The sequence below is a fragment of the Homo sapiens genome, chromosome 11 (genome assembly GCF_000001405.40).
Source record: "Homo sapiens chromosome 11, GRCh38.p14 Primary Assembly".
Classification (NCBI taxonomy): Eukaryota; Metazoa; Chordata; class Mammalia; order Primates; family Hominidae; genus Homo; species Homo sapiens.
The window spans coordinates 131898813-131920504 of record NC_000011.10 but is presented as its reverse complement, the minus strand read 5'-3'; the positions used below and the strand labels follow the sequence as shown (position 1 = coordinate 131920504).

Here is a 21692-nt window from a genome sequence, read left to right as displayed (position 1 = left end):
GGGTTAAAATGGACAGGACTCTTCCTGTGATCCCATCAGTGAATGCTGAGATCAGTTTCTAATGCCAGATGCACTGGTGTTGCCCTAGACCTGACCAAAAGTAAAATTCCCAAATGCAAAGAAGCCTCCTTCTCTATTTTCACCATCACCACTCAAGCCCTGAGCCTGCCTCCCAATCATCAGGAGATATGAATGAAGAGAAGACTTACAATTAGAGAACATTACAGCTGCGAGAGTCTTAAACTACCTCTTCCCCAACACATGTTATCCCAGACCCTGTTTTTTACCATTTGACTCCACTGGAATTATCATGGAAAAATCATTTCTCCAAGGAAAAGGGGTCTGGCACTCCGAAATCTATGCATGAATTCACAGAAAACCTGCTCCACAGAACCTTCTGGATGAATTTTTCTGATGGGAAATGCATCTTCAGAGCCATGAACTGTCACAACCTGCTATGCAACAATCTTTTTACGAAAAACAAAGAAATATCTTTCTTCTCGCTCCCTCTCAGAAATCAAACATCTCAAGAAATGATTTGAAACTGAAGAATCTCTAAACAGATGTGTAGGAGAGGCACCACAAAAAAACTCACAATTATAGGTGGACAAAGGGGGATTTGTCCACCTATAATTGGATCTTTCAGAAGCAAGACATGGTATATCTGCCAAAGTGTTTAAGCTACAATAGTTTATAATGAAAATTGGTATATGTGTGTATATTATATACACATATATGCACACATGCATATGTACATATATATTCATATATAGAGAAAGAAAGTTATAACTATATACTATGTTTTGTGTGTGTCATCTCATTTTAACCTAAAACAACACTGTGAGATGGGTAATAACGGTCCTGTTTAAATGCAGGGTGGAGAGATTACAAATTTTGCCTGCAATCAAACAAACTGCCTGAGCCAGAGTTTGTAGATTCCTGTCTCCCACTCTATCTTCTTTCTAGCCTACCCCTCCTGGTACCTACGAGTCAGTAAGGTCTTGTGTGTTGGAGATGTTTGTCTCCAATGATTGTACTCCTAGTAAACTTCCCCGTTGCTTCCTTCTCCCTTCAGCTCACACATGCAATTTGAAATTGCATCCTAAACCCAATAAGTCCTTGGTTTCCTAAAAATATTTGACCATCTATAATGATGTTGGTAGTATTGCTTATTATTTATTTAGTATTAGTTATCTATTACACAGTGGGAACCCATCAACTTACTCCTGAGGAAGCAAAATGACCTTAAATAACACAAGGACGATGTTCTATTTTACTCATCAGTGGAGACTTTCAACCTAAGAGAACAAACATGCCATTACCATTAATTATCTTTTTTTACAAGATTCCCCAGGAGAGATGCCTATTACTAATTTAAAAAAAAAAAAAGGAAGCGTTTTGGAGCTGGTCCCTCTTGTTCCCCTGGTGCTATGGCATCCAGATCCACTGACTGGCCTGTAGAATCCTCCTAGAATTGGTGTCTGCCTTGACTGGTTCAATACTGCATTCCAGAGAAGTACGTGGAAATGTTCATGGTATTACTAACTCCAGGTGAGAAAGTCCAAGATTGCTGATACCTAAAGCCAAAGATCAATGGAAGAACCTGGAATAAGAGTCTTCCTCTGAACAAACTATAGAAATTGCAGGATTCTGTGAGTAGAAGGGACCTCTAGAGGTCGGTTGGGTCCCTGTGTCTCCACGCCATGGATGACATGAAACCTTAAACACTCCCAGGCCCTGTTCCTCATGCTTCAGGAGAGGGGATTCCTGTGCACCACGACAAGGAGGGACAACCAAACTCACTGGGTCTCTAGTGGGAGAGGAACTTGGCAATGAAGAATACAAGGGACAGAACAAGACCAGTACTATGGAACCGAGGGGGATTGCCTAGGAGTCAGACACCACCCATCTTGAGTCCCAGGCTCAGCACCCACCTGAGTATGTGAGCTGGGAAAATACCTTCACTGTGCCTCTCAGCGCTTTGGTTTCCTGCTCTGTAAAATCAGAGTAATCATTGTGTCCACCTGATGGAGTATCTGTGAGGATTAAATGAGGTTCTTCTGGTAAACTGCTCAGCACAGGACCTGACCCACAGCAAACAGCTGTCCCACATGGAATGAGAGTCAAAGCATAAGAACGCAAGGTGTGGTACGGACTAAACCAGCAGTCAGGAGAGAATACGGTGATAAATGTCAGCTAAATGCATTGAAAGCATTCATGGTCAGGAGGATGCTTTTGCACTTAGGGAAACATGGCCTTTCCTTCAGCATGCATAGCCCCAAGTGAGGGCTCACAGCCTGGGGATGGAAAGTGTACTGGCTGCCGGCCCTCTCACCCTTCTGGAAGGCCTCCTTACGCAAGACTGATTATCACTACTTCCACTATCTGTAAAACCAGGTGGTTGACCTCCCAGCTCTCTGCAAACCTTTCAAATTCAAGAACGCAATGCATTTAAAAGAGGGAGAAAGGAGACGTTTTTCTGCAAAGCACTTACGGTTTAGATGAGGGGTGTTAGAGAACTGAGCTGGCCCCCTGTAGCCTCCTCTAGCTTTCAGTGACAACTGGCATACTCCTACCCCTTCTGCCCTATGTTTGGTTGAGTTTTTAGTTTTCCCATTTTAGTTTTTGGCTCCTCAACAGCTGAATGTGCTTCCAGGAGCCTCCCTCCTTGGTCCCATCTGTGCCTGCTCCTCAGAGCCACAGGACACCAGCCGGATGCCTGGCAAGCCCAGAGGTGAGTGCCCAGTGGCGGGTCCTGAGAGGGGGCAGGGCAGTGGGAGCAGCACAGGCCTCCTGAGTAGCATTGCTATTCTGAACGGGTGAACTCATAAACAACGGATCAATAGTTATACCACCACAACCACTGCCAGCAGACTCCACAAACAGAGAGAAAGGATGAGCAGAGTGCTTTTCTGTGTCCCTCCTTACCTTGAAAATGCTAATTTCCCTGGAGTTGACTATCATTGTTCCTTCAAAGACTTAAGGACTGGGTGGGGAGGTGACCCAGCAGAAGGAAGGTAAGTGTCATGGGTGCAAATATGAAATAATGGACAACCAACACACCTCATCTGTGGCCTGGACAGACAGACACAAGTTCAATGACTTCTATGTATTTGTAACCTGTCTCCAGCACCTCCACAGGAGCAGCCTCACACAGCTGCCCAGTCAGAAATGACACTGAGGAAGTAACATGCCCAAGGCAAGGACAACACAAGACAATTCAGGAAAAAGGACACAGACTCCAAGGAGAAGAAGACGTGATCTCAGGCCTTCATTCCTGCAGTCATTCATGCAACAAATTTATTGAACACCTTCTATCCGCCAGACACTGCTAACAAGACAGAGCATATCTCTTCTCAAGGAATTTTTAGTCCCTTTGGGGAAGACAACCCATACACAGATAACCAAATAATGAATGGGATAACTTCAGATGGAGATGATTGTTCTGAAGAAAAACTCCAGGATGATATGCCAGAGTAAGACTGGTGGTAGTGGTAGAGGATTATTTTGATTTGGTATCAGGAAAGGCATCAGGGAGGGAATTCTCTGTGAGCTTAGGCCAAAATGACAAGAAACAGCTGTCCATGGGAAGATCAGGGTAGGGGTGTTCCCAGCAGGGCGGACCACAAGAGGAAACGCTTTGCAGCTGGAATAAGCTGTGTTTATGGGTGTCCACAACAGAGTGAGTGAAAGGAAAGGCAGGATGAGAGTCCTTCGGATTTTATTGGCAAATTCCACAGGCCAAGCCATGTGCTGCGGATTAGGAGGCAAGCCTGGAGGAGGCCTAGTTCCGCCCTTAAGAGGCTGTGGAGTAGCTGGAGGGACTACCAGAGAATCCATCTGCTTATCAAATGAAACTCCAAGCACCTTACATGACATGAGCAAAGTGCCGCAGCTTCCTTCATCTAGAGGGTGACTCCCGCGTCCTCTCAAGTATCAAAACCACATTTAGTCTGTGTGATTCCATGGAGTCCCATATCAAAACTCAACCAAAATTACATACATTTCTCAGACCTTCAATTCCTAACTCACCCGGGAAAAACAACATCATCCAATCGCTAAGCCTATGGTCTAGAGGCGCGATGGAATGCAGCGTTCAGCCTCTGATACCCACCTGCCAAGTGATCCCCAGGAAAGAATGCACTTTACTAGCTGCTGCCTTAATTGGGGAATCTCTGAAATGTGGAAAGCATTCATTGAAACTGCCAAGTGACAGGTGTGTTGATGCTTAGTGAAGGTCTCTAAGTGAATGACACCCATGCATTGGGGCTTCTGGGGCTCTCTGATTCCTCACTGATGTCTGCTCACTTCCACCCAGGAGCTAGGAGCTAGTGCAGTCCTGCCAACCCACAGAAAGCCTTCACTCCAACAGAGGGGCTCTGCTCCAGCCACGGACAGCGTGATCGCCCACGTTTTCATGGTGTACTCTGCCTCACAAGGTCCATGACCTCTTTGTCCACAGCCAGCTTTTCCAGTTGGACCCAAGCCCCCAAAAGCCAAGTCCAGGCCGTACGCCTTTCCACACCCAAACACCCAGCTCAGTGCCTGATATGGTCTGGCTGTGTCCCCACCCAAATCTCATCTTGAATTGTAGCTCCCATAATTCCTATGTGTTGTGGGAGGGACCCAGTGGGAGATAATTGAATCATCGGGGCAGTTTTCCCCATACTGCTCTGGTGGTAGTGAATCAGTCTCACAGGATCTGATGATTTTATAAGGGGTTTCCCCTTTCTCTTGGCTTTCATTGTCTCATCTGCCGCCGTGTAAAATGTGCCTTTTGCCTTCTGCCATGATTGTGAGGCCTCCCCAGCCACGTGGAACTGTGAGTCCATTAAACCTCTTTTTCTCTATAAATTACCCAGTCTTGGGTATGTCTTTGTCAGCACTGCCTAACGGACTAATACAGTCCCCTTCTTGAAAGAACCACTCAATACATTTCTGATTGACCGTAGTTGAAATTTAAAATAAAATGATAGAGAAATGTGGTAAGGAGATAAACTGAATATAGCTGGGGGATATCGTTGTTTGGCTTTCATTCATTTTGTTTGAGTAAGCATCTGCCAGCACACAGTGCTCATGCCATGACAAGGCATGATTCTTGCTTTCCAAGAGGTGCTCTGCAGCCCAAGGGAAGAAAGAAGACAGAGAGATAACACTGGAAAACAGGGTCTAAGCCAAAATGAATAGGGAAGACATTAAGTGCCACAGAGGAATGAGAGGAACACGAATCCAAAGGGTCCTGAATAGTCCTGGGAAGCTTGGTGTACAAAGTCAAGGAATGGAGTCCTGAGCTAGCATACTGGTCTGCCACTGGCTGCTTATGTGATTTCAGGTAAGTTCCCCCTCTCTAGGCCTTAACCGGGAATAATTGTCTATTTCAGAGAGGTGTGAGGAGTAAATGTTACTGTTTACATAAAATGTTCACACAGTAACAGACCAATGATAGTACTATGTATCTTATTAACGTGATTGTTACCAGTGCTTCATAGCCTGGCTTCAAAGCTTCCTAGCTGTGCCACCTTCATCAAAGCATGTAAACTCTCCACACCTCAGTTTCCTCGTCTGTAAAATAGGGATAATAGTAACTCCTACACCATAGGGCTGTTATTAAAGTGTTAATGTCATGAGGCTGAATGATAGGTGAGATATTATTAAAACACTTAGATACTCCCCAACACATAGTGAGCACTCAATTAACATTGGCTAATAGTATTATTAATGCAGATTCTGTTTTACCTCACCCTTTTAAGAAATATGCCTACAGAATGCCAGCGGGAGGGCAGAAAGAGTGGGAGACTGCAAATTGTAATTCTTTTCAGGCTGTCAGTGCTATGCTAATTGAAACATTTCCCAATACCTCCACAAGGATTGTTAGAGCTACTTGGATAAGATAAAACATTTTTTAAAGTTTCCTCAAATTAGAATCTTCTGCTGAGCATTTATTCTTTAGGGACTGCAAAAGATCCTCAAAATATGATGTTGGTGAGAACAAAGCAGAATAAAATGAAATTAGAGCAAAAAGTCCTCTGCTGGTTATGAAGAAAACTACATGTATCACCATCATCACCCAATCACCCATAGGAAGATGGATATGGCGGCCCTCCAGGCCAGAGCACGGGTGCTCTGGTCTCCCCTAGTTGTGGTTCCTTACAGCTTGGTTATATGATTAGTCAAAACAGAAAAAAACAAACGGAAGAAGAAAGAAAGATAGATGGAAGGAAGGAAGGAAGGGTCCTCTGTCCCCCTACACACACACAATACAAAGCAAAAAGAAAATAACTCAGAACTCTGAACTACTAGATGGTTGCAACCTACAGTCAGGTTACGTGAAAATGCAGCAATTTTTATGCAAACAAAATACGTTCTGAAATTCCTACTTGCCTCTCTGTACACAGAACAAGAAAATGCAGGACCTATGTTTGAGAGTTCAGGGGCTTCCACCCCACCAAAGTCCATCCCAGCAGGGCAGCCCTTCCTTGTTCTAGCGCATCAGAGTCTGAGAAGGAGGGCAATCCTGAGAGGCCTGAGCATCCTCCATACTGGTTGCTTGTTACACCTGGTGCCTGATTCACATCCTAAGTCAGGCCTGTGGTCAAGGGCTGGTGTCGCTCAGACCCTAGCTCATCTAATCCCTGCCCTGTAGTGCTCCATCCACTGTCAGGGCCTTTCTCTTGAGTGTCAGGAAGACATTCAGCCCCTGAGGCTGGCACAGAATGGCAGGAGATGTTCCAGAAGGAACTTGGCTGGGTTGGGGTCAATTCAAGGGTCTAGAAAGGAAGCTCCACCATGTTCCCATCTCCATCCACACCCAAACAATACCACTGGGTTGAGAACACATGTGAAAATGCAAACAAACATTAGTGCTGAAAGAGAGAGGGGGACCGGCAGAATGAGAAAAAAGAACCATGAAAGGGAAGACAAAGAAAGATAAGTCAGCCAGTACATGATAACGCGATTTCAAAAAGAAGCTCCTCCTAAATCAGGCCTGTCCCGTGATTCAGCCTCTGCTGAATGCAGCCACCCTCTGGACAGTCCTGACTTTGATAAGCCTTGAAGACTACCTTCTGGAGACCAGATTCTGGCCTGGTCTCTGTCTGCCAGGACCCACTTCCTGTTTATTTATCTTCAAGTCTCTACAGAGCTACCTTACACCTTTTCCTTGAAAAAAAAAATCCCATTTATATCTAAAATGTTCCCCATTCAGAATGTCTCTGTCCCTGGGAGGCCCTCCTTGCAGCCAAGGACTAGGGACAAAGAGGGCATCCAGAGAACAAGCATTTCTTGAACAAGAAAATTTCCTTGATTATTACTGCTCTAGACATTTATTTTTGGTTTTTTATTTAAGTAGTCTGAAATCACTGCATATTTGTAACTCCCCTGAAATCCATTTTTAAAGCAGATACACAATCATTTCTGAGTGGGGGAAGGAAGTTGCTTTATTTTTGCTCAGAAGAGTGGAAGAGGTGGGTCTCGTGAGCCAACAAATAACTAGGAGTTCACCAGAGCCATGAGGTTAAGCTTTGCCTAGACAAAGGATCACTGGATGCTTGTAGCCCTGCACGGGTCCCTAAATTACACACTTCCTTTGGCAATGTCCTGATAACTCAGCTCTGTATTGACATTGCCTCCTCTTCACCATTTTCTATCCTATAGATATTGCCTTAAGTATACAGTCCAAAACAACCCAATCCTAGAAGAAGTCATCAGAGGGGCAAAACAGTAGACACCAGCACCAGGGTTATCTTTCCAGAAATCTTCATGTGCAAAGGACAGGAATATTGCCATGTTGCCTTGTGGTTAGTTCTGTCGCTTAGTTTGGAAAACTTTATTTAGGAGGGCAGACTAAACCAAGGAGAGGCAGGGAAATCGTTCCCATGAACCTTCTTAACGTCCACCTCATGCTTATTCTCTTATAAAATCCCAGAGAATAAAATTTCCCATCGCAATCATTAAGTGTTTTGCCCGCATATGAGAGGTGTGGTTTATCAACACTGGAAATTCAGTTAGCGTTTCTGCAGGCAAGGTAATCAGGGAGATAGAATCATTCTACCTTACACAAAGCATAACCAAGATTCTTCTTCTTCTCCTCCCCCAGTGCCTGTAAGCCTTAACCCCAGAAGCCAATCAGGACCCAACCCAACACTGAAACCTAGTTTCTCTTCAGTAGACGAGTTTTGCATGTACCGTTTTGGTGGAGAGCAGGAACAGAACACAGTTCACTACAGTAAATGCCATTTTCCACGGACAAATCAGACTCCATGACTTGGGCCTCAGAAAGCCACGTTCAGACAGGAGAAAGCATCTCTGTCTGCCCACCAGCTCACGGCATGAAGGCACCCCAGGAAAGCCCGGGCACAGTCAGGCCCAGGACAAAGCAGCGGCTCTCCCAGAGTGCAGGAGCCAGGGCTGGCAAAGCCCTATGGCATGGGCGAGTGGGGGCATTCACTCCAAGCCAGACCCCTCCTTTGGGGCTCATTAACTTCAGAGAAGACTGCTCGCGGGGAGCCCCTCCAAGCCCCCTGTCACCACGGCCACCAGGCTCAGGCACAGACAGTGCCAGGCACAAGTCCCTCAATCTCGGCGACCACCTGGTCCAGCCACCCCTCACCTTTAACAAGTGCCTGAGCCGCAGAGGCCAGTTTTTGGGAAAAAGCTCACCGCCAGAACCTCTGAGCCTTTCCCTACGACTGCCACATTCCCGGGCAGAGCCCCCAGCGCAGCCATAAATTGTGCAGCCCAGGGAACCAGCGACCTCTCCGCCAACCCAGGCACGCCTCAGTGCACACACCTGCACCCCTGCCCCTTACCCCGACCCCATACAAACCATCAGTTCGCAGAACAATGTCAGCTCCCTACCTGAGGGTGGCGCTCTCCCCCTGCCGGACCGTCACGTTGTCCATAGCTTTGGGGAAGGTGGCATCTCCGCTGCGCACGGGCACTCCTGTGGGTACAAGGAACAGCAGCCTGAGAGACACGACCACGAGGCACTTCCAGGGCAGGAACAGGTACCCACAGACCCCCATTCTCGACAGCCACAACTTCCCCGAACTCCGGCAGCCGCACGGCACACGCCCCCCGGGCGAGCACAGGAAGTGGGTGGGGTGCGGAGCGAGCGCGGGGACTGAGCGGTGAACCCGCGGCGACCGGGAGGCGCGGGGAGGAGAAAAGCGCGCAGACTCCTCCGAGTCTAATATTCCTCCCCCAAATCCAGCCTCGGCTTTTGCCAGCCTCGGAAAACCGGTTCCACGGAGGACGGCCAAAGGGGGCTCCCTCCTCGCTGCTTCCGCCGGGAAGGTGGCCGAGGAGGGGGAAGCGCGCGGCAGGTGAAAGGTGTGGGCGCGTCTCAGGAGCCGCTTCTTCCCAGCGGCAGTTCAGACACGGCACTTTGGAGAGGAGTAAGCACTTTGGTACCAGAAGGGGACGGGGTGGGCTTCATCCAGCTACCCAGAGGCGGTCTGCAGTCCCTCAGTTCGAACGGGGGACATCCAACACTTTGTAAGTTTCGGAGCCGGGCTCGCCACCGGAAAACAATCGGAAACAATAGCAGATGGGAAGTGGAGCTCGCGGGAGGCGCAGGGGTGGCGCGCGGAGGAGACGGCCGCGCGGGCTTCGTGCGATCCGGGCCCGGGATCCTGCGGCAGCCGCCTCGGTCAACTTCCTCGGAGCCCAAATGCGCGCTGCGGCCGCCGCTGTCCGGCGGGGCTCGGCGGGGCAGGGGCTGCGGCGGTGGCCGAGGAGGGAGAGGCCGGGCGGCGGGAGCGGACCGCGGCGGCCCCAAGCTCGGTAGCTCGCTGGGGAAGGCGCGGCGCAGCCCGCACCGGAGCCGCGCGGACGCCAAGCTCAGCGGCCGCCCCCGGCCTCCGCGCCGCCTTCCTCCCGGGAGCAGCCCCGACGCGCGCGGGCCCCGACCGCCGGGGTTGTCATGGCAGCAGCTCCATCCCTGACCGCCACTTTCTCCCGGTGCCGCCTCGGAGCGAGCGGGCGGGCTGGCGGCGCGGACTGCGCTCTCATCCCGGCGGGAGGGCGCGGGGCGCGGGGCGCGGGCGCCCACCTTAACCCCCGCCGCGCCGGGCCCAGGCTGTGCACCAGCCCAGCCCAGGCCAGGAGTTTAACCATTTACGCGCTTCCAAATTAGGAAAAAAGACAAAGTTACCATGCAGCCTTAATCAGCCTCAGACTTGAGACATCTTAATAAGGGTCACAAACTAATTAACTGGGAAAGGAACACCCTGCAGCATGCATACATGCACCTTTAAAATGATCAGATTAATCCCATTAGCATTCAGAGTAAACTCAGAGTGTTCGGAGGATGTTTTAGAAGAACCTCATAGTTATTCAGTAGTACAGCACCCGCCCAGCAGCCCCCCACAAAGCTGCTCAAAACCCCAGAGACTCAACACTACCATTCTAGAGATCTGCCATATATAAAACAAATCCAAAATCACAGAAGCCTCTTAGTGTGCGAAACTGGAAAAATCGCATCATCAAAATGTTGGTCAAGTTCAGACACCCACTTACATTCTTTATTCTTGTTTTGTCGCCATTAAAAGATGCTGGGCCTGCAAAAGTGCTCACTTGGGTGGATGAGTGTGAGCCACTTGCTGTATTTATACAGCAGACTCCCAGGTTTCCTGGGCCTCACACTCTCGCACAGCTGATTTCATCTTTAAGAGGTGTGTTTCTCAAATTCTTGAAACCCGGGGAGAGACTGGATTTGCCTCGGTCCCTGTCACTTCTCCTCTCTGGCTGCTGCTGGTCCTCCTGTGCCTGTATTATTATTTCTCCCTTAACTTCGGCTCTGAGGGAATGGCCTGCGTTTCCTTTCCCTGGCTGGGCCTGGTTCTTGTGCAAGGGGGAAGCACAGAGCAGCTCAGCAGGCACAGTGGTGGTGACATTAATAATGCTCCCTTCTCAGGGATTCCCAGAGCCGGCCTCCAGCCCTGACCCACATTCTCCTTGGGGATGGAGAGGAGGCAACAGTGGCTTTGTTTTTCCCCTAGACTCTATCAAACACAACCAGGAAGCTTTTTGTTGTTGTTGTTGTTAACAACTGTTAAATAACAGAAAAATGGTCTTCCAAAAAGCCATCCGGTATCAAAGAGACTGAACCATTATAACTGAGTCATATAACCATAAGGGCTTCGGTACAATACTCATTCTGGCAACCTTCGAGCAGTACCAATCACTTACATGTAGATACCACGTTGGAGAGGACACAAACATTTCACCAATCAAATCTCCCTCACACTAACTATAGAGATAGGACAGAAGTAGGCTTTGGAGAAGTGGAAACCACACTCCTGGGTAACAAAGAAAGACTAAGACGGCTTGCCTTTCCATTGTCATAGTTGACTAGGACGTGCTTAGCCAGCAAGAGTGAAGCGACTTTACAGTGAATATCTCAAAATACTTTGCATTAACTCATCATTGGGCCAATTGTTCCCTCCTCTCCTCCGGTGACTTTTCTGATATTAAATTCTCAGGGAAACTCATCTGCTACTTTTGGCCACTGGGGATCATTTGATATATAACACCAAAACTATCAATCGTCAACTTATGGCTGCAACAAATGACTTTACTATCAGGAATAAACAATTACATCTGCGGGGAGCAGAAGATCTTTGTTTGTATTTTTGAAAGGAAAGGAGGAAAATTAACCTACTTTAGCACTAGTCCATTCTTGGAAGATTCTATTGTGTCTCCATTTTCCAACGGGCAATTGTGGAAACAGGAAATTGAAAAACTTCACCACGTTAAGATAAATATGATGATATACTAAAGCTGTGAGATATGTTTGCTGACTTTCAGTCTGCTGAATTTGGGCTTCGTCTCCACAAGTCAAGGGGTCACCTCTAATAATTCATCCATTCATTTCAACCATCCCTTATGCTCCTCCCTCTCAACCCCTCTTCTTAAACACATCCTCACTACAACAAGTGGAAACAAATGCTAGTCATGGGGAAAGGAGAGGGGCTCATTCTGAGCTTTGCAGTCATTTCCCTAGAGGCCTGAGAATGGCAGGGATGATTCATGATAAATGCTAATCCTGGCTCTTGCATCTAATTTTCAGGTAGGTACAAAGGAGCATTAGTTTTTGCATCTAGGGATATGGATAATGACAACAACAGGCTTTCCCGAGGGGCCTACATATATGATTAACTCTACAGGAAAATACTTAGAAATCCATTTAAGATGGAAGATGCTTTATTAATACATTTGCCTGCCATTGCTTCATTAGTATGTCTGGGCAAGAAAATAATTCTTCTTACAGGCTCTTTGAGATGTTTGGTTTCTACCAGTCTGCATGCAGTTGATCTAAGACAATCAAACCATCTTTGTCTCTGCCCGTGAAGGGAAAGCACTAAGCTTAGCAATCCAGCAGTTGCAGCAGAAAACCCAGCCAAGCTCAGGTAACTCACAGGGAGGGCAAAGAAAAGGCACTTGCAACCTCATACCTGCTTCGTGGGCGCAGGGATCCAAACTTTATTCAAACATAGAAGTTTAGAAAGTGGTGAAAGGTCAGAGATGCCCACATAATTAACAAGACAAAATCCATTTTATTCAAACCGGCTATTGAAGTGGTTTGAAAAGATGAAGATCAAAATCATATGTCAACTCACTTCCCAGCCCTTAATCCCTAAATATGACCAACACTTAGTGGCTTATCTTATATCCTGTCTCCTGCTTCATAAAAACTGCTGGATTTATTTTATTTTTCCCAGCATATCCGAGTTAATGAAAAGGGATGACATTCAAAGCAATTTCATTATTTGTGTTCTTTATAGAAACAACTTCCTTTCTGCCTCCTTGAAAGCCGATTCCTAACGAGCGCCCACCTCCACCCTCTTTCCCACCATCTCCGTCTCCTTCTTCCCTTCCTTCGTGCATACACATATACTGTACACATAAATCAACTTGTCACAGCTTGTCTCTGTGCTGACAGCTGTAATTGCTTCAGGTTATAAAAAATATCTATAGGACAATGCCTTTCAAGCTCACAAACATGTACACACATACACACTCCCTGAGCAAAAGGAAACAATCATATTCCCTTTAATAATCCTGGGACTGCAAAGGAGGGAGGAGAGAAGAGCCTGCCATGTGTACTCTGGATGGTTGGCAGGCAGGTGAGGAAGCAGTAGATGGAGACTTCAGGCAACCCTGGCATCTGTACACTGAAGCAGGGCTGGAACAGAGAAGAACTCCCAATGAAAGAGAAATTAGCTGTTGTTTTTGTTTTACTCCATGTTACCCAGAGCAAGCTGGGGCCAGCTAAAGAGCTATCACTATTCCACACACACAAGAGACGAAAAGAGGAGCACTAGCTTAACAAATGCCAGCTCTGCTTCTCCTCGTCGAAAAAGGCTAAAGGCTCCCCTCTCCTGGTGGAGATCTCACATAGGAGTGCAGGCGAGAAGATGGGAAATGCAGGGCCATTAGAGAGTGGTGTGACATCAAATAGATATTGGAAGATTTAATCAGAAAAGGATGTGTAAATCTGGATAAAGAGATGCCTCTAGGGCAGTAGGGAAGGGCTGGGAACTGGAAAAATATATGCTATTTTTTGCTCCTCTATGAATACAGGATCAAAATAAAATCGTGGTTCATCTGGGCTATAGTCCAACATGTTAGGATTTCAGCAGAAAGAGCAAAGGTGCAACTTGAAAAGGGGAAGAGGGCTCCAGGGAGAGAAAAGAGGTCACAAATAGAGAGAACTGAGAAGGAGGATATGAAGGAATGGCAAAGGTGAGGCTATCTATGGACTTTAAACCCATAAAACTTTATAAGAGATGCATAAAGCAGAGCGATGGTGGATAGAACAATCGGAGGTAGACAGAAAAGTCAGGGGGAGCAGGATGAACAAGCCAAAATCAAAGTGCCGACGCAGCGAAAGGCAGGTGCCCAAAGGGGACAGCCTGAGAGCCAGGGGTCTTTGGGGCAGAGTCTTTCCTTTTTATCTAAGTTTTGGGTCATAATAAGACCCTGGACTCGTAACATCACAGAATGATACATTCAGAAGGGACCTTGGAAGATCTTTAGTATAATCCATTCATTTCTTAAGTGAAGGATTGAGCCCCAGGAAGGAGGAGGAGTTGATCGTAGGAGCATAAAGTTTATAAACTGGCCAATCCAGACTAGAAGTCAGAACTCCTGACTCCTACAGCAGGGTTCTTTCTACTCTACCTGTCAGATAAGAACAATATTTAAGAGCTGACCACTCAGTAACTCCTGCTGCTGCATCATCTGTGGCCGAGAGAGAGACCCCCAGAGGACAGGTTACCATGATTGCCCAGAATCACTTTGGGTGTCACATTATTTGGTTGAACTCAAATTAGTTAATCAACCAGCAAGCAGATTTTGAGTTCCTTGTGTGTACCAGGAACTGTGTTGAGAGGAACAAAAATAAAGACATGCCCCTGCCCTTGAGTTGCGTGTCGTCTAGTGCTATTGGGTTTGTCAGTGGTTTTATTTCCATTAACGTTCATGAAAATTAAATGAACTCCACCCTGCACTCCCCTATAGGCCCTTGAGAACTTTCTCATTGCTGAGACAAAAAAGCTGAGGTCTGCCTAGCCTGTGGGAAGTGATTTGTCTCATTACACTTATCCAGATTCCCAGGCACAATCTTGGTTCTCTAGCTTCACTGGAAGGGGTATTAGGAGGGGTGGGGTGCTCTGAAGGACTTCTGAATATTGGGAAGCCCTTCATCAACTCAACAGGGCCAGGGAAAGCAATGAATGGGAGAGACATAGGCAAAAGTAACGTGGGCCTCCCCTGCATGAAGTGCACTTCCAGCAGGGGAGACAGACATTTAACAAAGAATTTTATGAAATAGTGGATACAACTGTGATGAATGCTGTGAGAAAAAAAAAATGGAAAAGACAGGATGGGAGATTCTCATCGTGCCTGGAAGATCAGGAAACTTCCCTAAGGAAGTGACATTAAACTGGACTTAAAAGTGAGCTGGAGATGAAGGGATGGGCAAGCATGGGCAGGAATCTCGTGGATGGCAGAAGACAGCACAGACGCTACACGACCCAAGACGGAAAGGAGCATGAGCAGAAACTTCTTTGACAGCCTCAGACGGTGCTCATACAAACTAAGGATGGGCACCTCGGGAGTGCTCTGTGTCTCACTGAAAACCTCTAATGCCATCGACATTGTGTGTTCATGCAGTCATGGATTCATTCAGTACATATTTATCCAATAAGAAGGACCGTGACCTTGGGTTTTAGACTCAGACCAGAAGTCAAATATTCACCCTCTCCATTACTAGCTGTGGGACCTTGGGGACATGCCCTAATCTAATCTGTAAAATAGTGGTCCTCATGGTACCTACTGCTCAGTACTGCTGTGAGGATGAGATGAGGGAGTAGCTGCAAAGAGTTTAGCACAGGCCTGGCTGCTCCCAGGCTTCTCATGCTGGGACTGGAAGGAGCTGCCATTGGCTGTGCTTCCTTCATTCTGAGTCAGCCTACAGGTAACATTCATGCAGAGAACCCAGGAGCAGACTGCTGAGTGCAGGCCCTGGGAATGCTCTTAGAGTTCACAGCATAAGGCGGACAGAGCAGGAACGTCATGCTGAGATGTAGTCAGAGAGGAAGTAGCACAGCCTCTAGACCACCCACAGCAGGAAGAGCCGTGGCCCCCCAGCTCCCACCCCACTGTCAGGCCTCTGTTCTCTAGGCCTGTGGGAAACAGCCTGTGCTTGCAAAAGAGGAGGCAGCTTTCTCTTTCAGTACCAGCCTGGGAAACTTTGAAAGTACAACAGAAAAGTAGCCAATCCACCTGACAAAAAGACAGGACACCTCCATCCCATTGTAAAGTGAGCCACAATGTCTGACCTCCTACCATAAGCCTTTAAGCCCTTCATTGCTCCAAGGTGCCTGATGGCTGAATCCAAAGCTTCTTCGACCATGCAAGGCCCAACACGCTCAGGTCTCCATCTTAAACAAATCACTGGATAAGAACATCTTGGGCCTGCCTCATCTCTCCTAATTTCTACATTCAGGGATTGGCCTTGTAACCTCTGTGAAAGAGTCACCTGGAGACATTCATCTACAGGCACACACATACACCAGTTCTAATGTTTCTGAGCCCAGCCAGAGTAGGGAAGTGCCTTCTCAAACAGAAAGAGCCCTAGGAATGGCAATTTTATCAAGTACAAATTTGGAGTTTAAAACCCCAGGTTTTAACTTGGGGTTTTAAACTCTCAGAGGAACTTGGATTACTTCTACCCCTGTGCTCCATTCTCCCTAAACAATCACCTAGAACTTTTGTCTCTGTTTGATCTTTTCCCCTCATTTTCTTTAGAGGTTTTATTCCTTGTTCCCCATCCAAAAACAACAGCAGACAAAATAAATTTTAATGACATAAGAATTTGCATAATAACATATGGGTCCAACTGTACTTTGTATTGGAGGTGACATTTGTGCAAATATATTTTGTAAACCAGAAGACCTGAGTTCTAGTTTCAACTCAGCCCATCATTTTGTCACCTTAGATAAGTCACTGCTTGTGTTTGAATTTTTAGCTCCTTTGTTTGTCAAAAAACAAAAAAAAATCTTCATGATCTGTGTGTCACTGAGAAGGTCTAATGACTAATTCACTCAAATGGGTTAATGCACTTTTGCAGAATTAAAGGAACAATTTCAGAGTACGGTGACAGCTCAGTAAAGGGCTGGGATCCAGGGTCTGGAATTCCAGCCCTAAGTCTGCCCCTTACCAGCTCACTGGAATAGCTCTGCTCTCTTCCTCTTGCCTTCTAAATGAGGAGTTTGGATGAGATGGCTTCCCAGGACATTTCCAACTCTAATAGTCTAGGATTATAATGCTTCTCAACACTCTTATCAAATTCACTCATCAATCCTTCCTGCACAGAAATAGCCCTTCTTATATGGCCTTCCATTCTTCCCATTCGTCTAGGTAACCACTTCAGAATGTTGAAAACTGTTGTACAAAGTAATTAATGAGCTGCCCTGGATCTGAGGCAAGCGACGGAAGAGTCAAGATGATTAAAAGTCTTCTGATAAAGGGTTTCTTTAAGGAAAAGAAAATCCCACAATGCAACCAGCAATGTTAATCTTCAATAAATACGCTGTTAATATTTAACTGGCATTTATTTAAACTTACAGTAACGGTCCTATTAAATCTAAATTAATTGCCCATTTGGGAATCTTCCCCTAAAGCCTAGCTGGGACATGGCTATCTAGATACAGTCTATGCTAGGCATCCAGCCATAAAGAGAATATTTACACACTCCTTCCATGACTAGACTATTGGAATATCCGGGTTAGAAGAGTTTTAGAGATCTATTGGACTGGTTGCACACTGTCTGTCCTTTAACTTTCCGCGGCCCTATTTTTTTTTTTCTTCTCTTCAGTAAGGGATTTTTTCTGTGTTTCCTGTATCTACCTCTTCCCACCTTTTCTTTTTATTTGGATTCTCTCTCCTTTCTGTTAGTGTTTGTTTCTTCTGGACTTCATGGTTTAGACTCATCCTGCTGTGTTTTATCTCAATCTCTGCTGAGTTTCTCAGATAAGCCATTTAGGCATATGTTCATAGCATATTCTGTACACACACGGATACATATACATACATATAATTTTATGTGTCACAGAGAACATTTTATAATAGCAGTTGTATATAAAAGGCTAAGTGCCGTGAAATAATTCCTGAGTCATGCTGCTTTAGAAGGGGCAGCAAGAGTGTAATTGGGTAGAACTGATATTTGCTATCCCTGAAATCAATCAATATTCTTTATTAGAAATGTGGACCTGGATGAACTGCTGTGATGTTATTTTGCTGGGATTGTAACCCATTTACATTTCCACACCAAACATATACAGACACACCATACCAGTTTCATCAGATCAGTTGACTACTGAGACATGGATTTCAAACAAACACCTAATTAGAGGGGTTAGTGTTCAAACTGAGTTAACTTTAAACCAATGCATCAAGGCTGCACAGAATCTGAACTTTCCTTGGGGAAGCAGGAACTGGATGAGACTAAAATCGTTCACTCTAAGGTTCTAAATGTTTAGTTCACCAAGTTTGATTTGTAAATGTTCACTGTTTGCTTTGCAGGCCCCGGGACAGGAATGGTAGTAGGGAGGGGACAAAGCACCAGTGAGGAGCAGGTGAAGTGGTGGGAAGGCACCCACACATTTTAAGAAGATAAACATACTCTCAACTGTTTGTTTGTGGAAGGCTTGAATTTGTACTGCCCTAGAAGTCAAGTTTCTTTGTATTTCTAGCTAAACTAATACCCAAACTATCCACTTCCTTTTTTAATTCTTTACTTCAATTTAAAGTATCTATTGACTCTGACAAACTTATTGACTCTTACAAAGAAATAATAAAATGCATTTCTGTATGCTTGTGAATCTCTGTGACTTTCACCTTGTTGGTCCACCTGTATGCATTACCATCGTGAGTTCAGGGCCTTTCTAAATAAAGTAATTGAGGTTGCCCTTGGGGCATCACAGCCTTGTGCTTCTTTCCCAACCTGGGGTTGACATGGGCAGCACCTCCCAGAAAGAAATGATTTCCCTAAAGCTTTGGTATGCTTTCCTTCACTAGCTTAGCACAAAACTACCAGTGGTACTGCAGGTCGTGAGAAAGAAGGAGCAACTTGTGAGTGTCTTAGGAAAATGAACTTATGTGCTGTTCAGGTAGCTTTGAACCTGGAGGAGGCAGAATTTGGAAAATGTTGTCAACGTGCATGTGAATAAACCACAACACATGAAATAATCTACCCTGGCTTTCACAACAGTTTTGACAAGGTGTCAGGATCACAGATACCTTTTAGAAAAGTGAGTAATGAGAAGACTATCTTTTTTTTTTTCAAAGGCAGAGAGCTGCTTAAAGCTAAGATATAAATCAAGGGTAGATTGACATGTTTCTATATGGCCAAGTATTAATACTAGATTCCCCAAGGGACAGTTGCTAGGACAAATCAAATTTAATATTTTTACCAATGATCTGTCAAAGGGAATTCATAGAGAACTCTCCCAAGTTTGCAGAAGACATTAGGTTCCCTTAAGTAATTAAAACTTTAGCTCACATGGATGAGCTGCAAATAATCCAGAAAGTTATTTGGATATGTGGAAAAGTGGCCAAATATAATGGAAGATACTTTAGAAAAAATAAAGTATGCATGTAAGTTGCTGGCATCTAGGCAGTCGATGAAGAGACAGTGATGTGGAAGGGATTGGGCATGAATGCTGGAGTTAATGGCTTTGACTTTATGTCCAAGTTCCACAAATTACCAGCTTGACCTTGGAAAATGTTCTCACCTCTCAGAGTCTCCTTTTCCTCTTCTATTAAAAAGGAATAATACCTACCTCTTATATTTGCTGTGAGGGTTAAATGAAATAATTTATGTAAAGTACCAGTGAAGTACCTGGCCTGTAGTACCAACTCCACAAATGGTTGCTACTGATTATTCTTTTACAACCCAGGAAAGTAATCTTGGAATCAGTGATGGCTAGCAGTTCCCAAGCTATGATCCTTACAACACATATTGGAGCATGATACTATAGATTGCTTTCTGCAGGTATCAGGAATTTTTGCCAAAAAACAAGTGTTGGCCCAAACATTTTTATGGAAAACACTAAAAAGGGTATTAGAAAAAATAGGAACGAGAAAGAAATGTTATTTTTACTCAAAATTGTTCCATAAAAATTCTCCTAGTATTGCTTATAGTAGTTATCACTGTAGCTCACAAATAATAAACTTCATGCAACCAACTGCTGAAATCAGAAATCGAGTCACTTTTAATCTCTTCCCTCTTATCACTGCCCCTCATTACCCAATCTCTCTCTCTCTCTTTCTCTCTCTCTCTCCCTCTTTCTCTCTCTCAGTCTTTTTCCTGTGTTCTTCCTCCAAAATATATTTTACATCCATCCACCTTTCTCAACCTCCACTGCCTTGCCTGGCCCAAGCCAAGATCTCCTCATTTTCTTATCTGGATTCCTGAAATTCATCTTACGTGGATGTCCTCCTTCTGCTCTTGCCAGCTCTGTTTCAATCTCCACATTGAAAGGAAGATTTCCTGAAATCTGACCTTGTCACTGTCCTGATTAAATCTTTGGTGGCTCCACACTGCAATTTGAATAAAGCTCCAAATCCTTCCTGTGGTTTCTGAGCCCTCAGGACGTGGCATCTGTGTATTTTCAGCTTTAGCAACTACTTCTTCTTCCCTTTTGGAGCCATGTCAGATTTTGTTTTATTGTATTACACTTCTAATTCCTCAGAGGTTCTTCTTTCTCAATTGAGGGACTTTGCATGTTCCACTTCCTGCCTAGGATGCAGTCCCCATGGTCTCGGGCTGAGTTGTCGTCACCCTTCTCGGTTCTGACTGGCTCATGAAGGCCTCACTGTGCTAGTCCACTGGACTTGGCACATGCCCTCTGCATCAGTGCCTCGCATAACACTCAGAATACATGTAATGGTCTAATTTCTGTCTTTTTCTCTGTTACATTCCTGAAACCTAACACAATGCCTGGAACATAATTGGTTTTGATAAATATTTGTTGTATTTAAGTGACCAGCACAGCTGAGGAAAATTCAAAAATTGAAATAATTTGTTTTGTAGGGACTTCCAAATCTCTACAAACGAGGAACATGAAATTGATGATGACATTTGGTATTCACGATGTATAAGGATAGAGTGAACACATACTTAATGACCAAACTCTAGCTAAAATAAAATAAAAAAACTCTTAAGAAATCAAGACAGTAGTTAAAGGATAAAAACAAGTATGTCTGAATAAAACTTATACAGACAAAAATAATCTCTAAATAAGATATGAAAAGGTTTGAATAAATTAACGTGTGATATACCCACACTGTTTGTTAGGTTAGAGGCATCTGCTATATATCTGTAACCTTTGAAGTATGACTCATGTAAAATTGCCACTGTCCAAAGCAGGTAACTCGGACATCTGAATTTATGTGACCCAGTGTGACCTTTCTAATGTCATGGTCCCATCTACCCAGTAATTCCATTTTCTGCCTGGCTGGGGATACTTCAATTATGCTTATCTCGCCCTTCTCTCACCCCTACATTATGTTACAACTTCTTGTAGAAGGTTTATGTACACTTGGTAAAGGCATTTTTAAAAATACTATGAAAAGTGTGTGCATGATTTATGTGGAAATGCCCCCTGAGGAGGAGAACAGTTCCCTTTAGGCAGGGTTAGTTGGCCCGCCTTGCTTTCCAATCCTTCACATGCTTGGCTGTTTCCTCCATGTATGACCTCCAACTTTCACTCTTCACTGGGCTGGGGACCCCTGCTCCTCTGTGCACTCACTTGTTTTTTGTACACTGCCTCTGAATTTACCTTGGACACATACTTCACTTCACTTGGCTGCCTCGTTCCAAAAGTTTGACTTCTAGCAACCAGAAGAGCTGGATTACGACATACGTCTCTAAACTCTGTCTTAGCTCTTTCTAGCCACCTCAATGCATCCCCGTGTCAGCCTACATTTTAGAGCGTGATGGGAAGCAATTTGTTTTCCATAGAATTTTTCATTTTTCGCTCTAGTGGAAGAGAATGGTGACAGCAATCATCCCAAGCAATAGATCATGCATGAGCCTGAGTTCTCGACTTTGTGCTCCACAGCGTTGGCCTCAACAGAAGGTGGGGGAAACTAGATTATTTTTCAATTTCATTTCCTGAAGA

General features: G+C 45.2%; 1 protein-coding gene across 41 annotated transcripts in view, besides 1 other annotated feature; it reads right to left on the bottom strand.

Annotated features, from left to right (window-relative positions):
* NTM (neurotrimin) overlaps positions 1 to 21692 on the bottom strand; it is a 966208-nt gene that overhangs the window by 416318 nt on the left and 528198 nt on the right. For 20 of the 41 annotated variants that reach the window (NR_170352.1, NR_170351.1, NR_170346.1 and 17 more), the window contains one exon: positions 8857 to 8941. The exons of 2 other annotated variants lie outside the window; for them this stretch is intronic. Coding sequence is in view for 18 of the 39 variants with exons in the window: in NM_001352006.2 (NP_001338935.1) it covers positions 8857 to 8941 (85 nt within the window). In the remaining 21 variants the exon portion in view is untranslated. Of the gene's footprint in view, positions 1 to 8856; positions 9170 to 9411; positions 9843 to 10518; positions 10582 to 21692 lie in introns of those variants that run through there. 19 more of the 41 variants (NR_170360.1, NR_147851.2, NR_147853.2 and 16 more) reach the window with 3 other exon arrangements.
* Positions 9036 to 9330: an enhancer, noted in NCBI's record as "tiled region #6145; K562 Activating non-DNase unmatched - State 10:DNaseD". NCBI's record gives its function as "activates a minimal TATA promoter and a strong SV40 promoter by Sharpr-MPRA in K562 cells {active_cell/tissue: K562}" and the evidence as "EXISTENCE:reporter gene assay evidence [ECO:0000049][PMID:27701403]".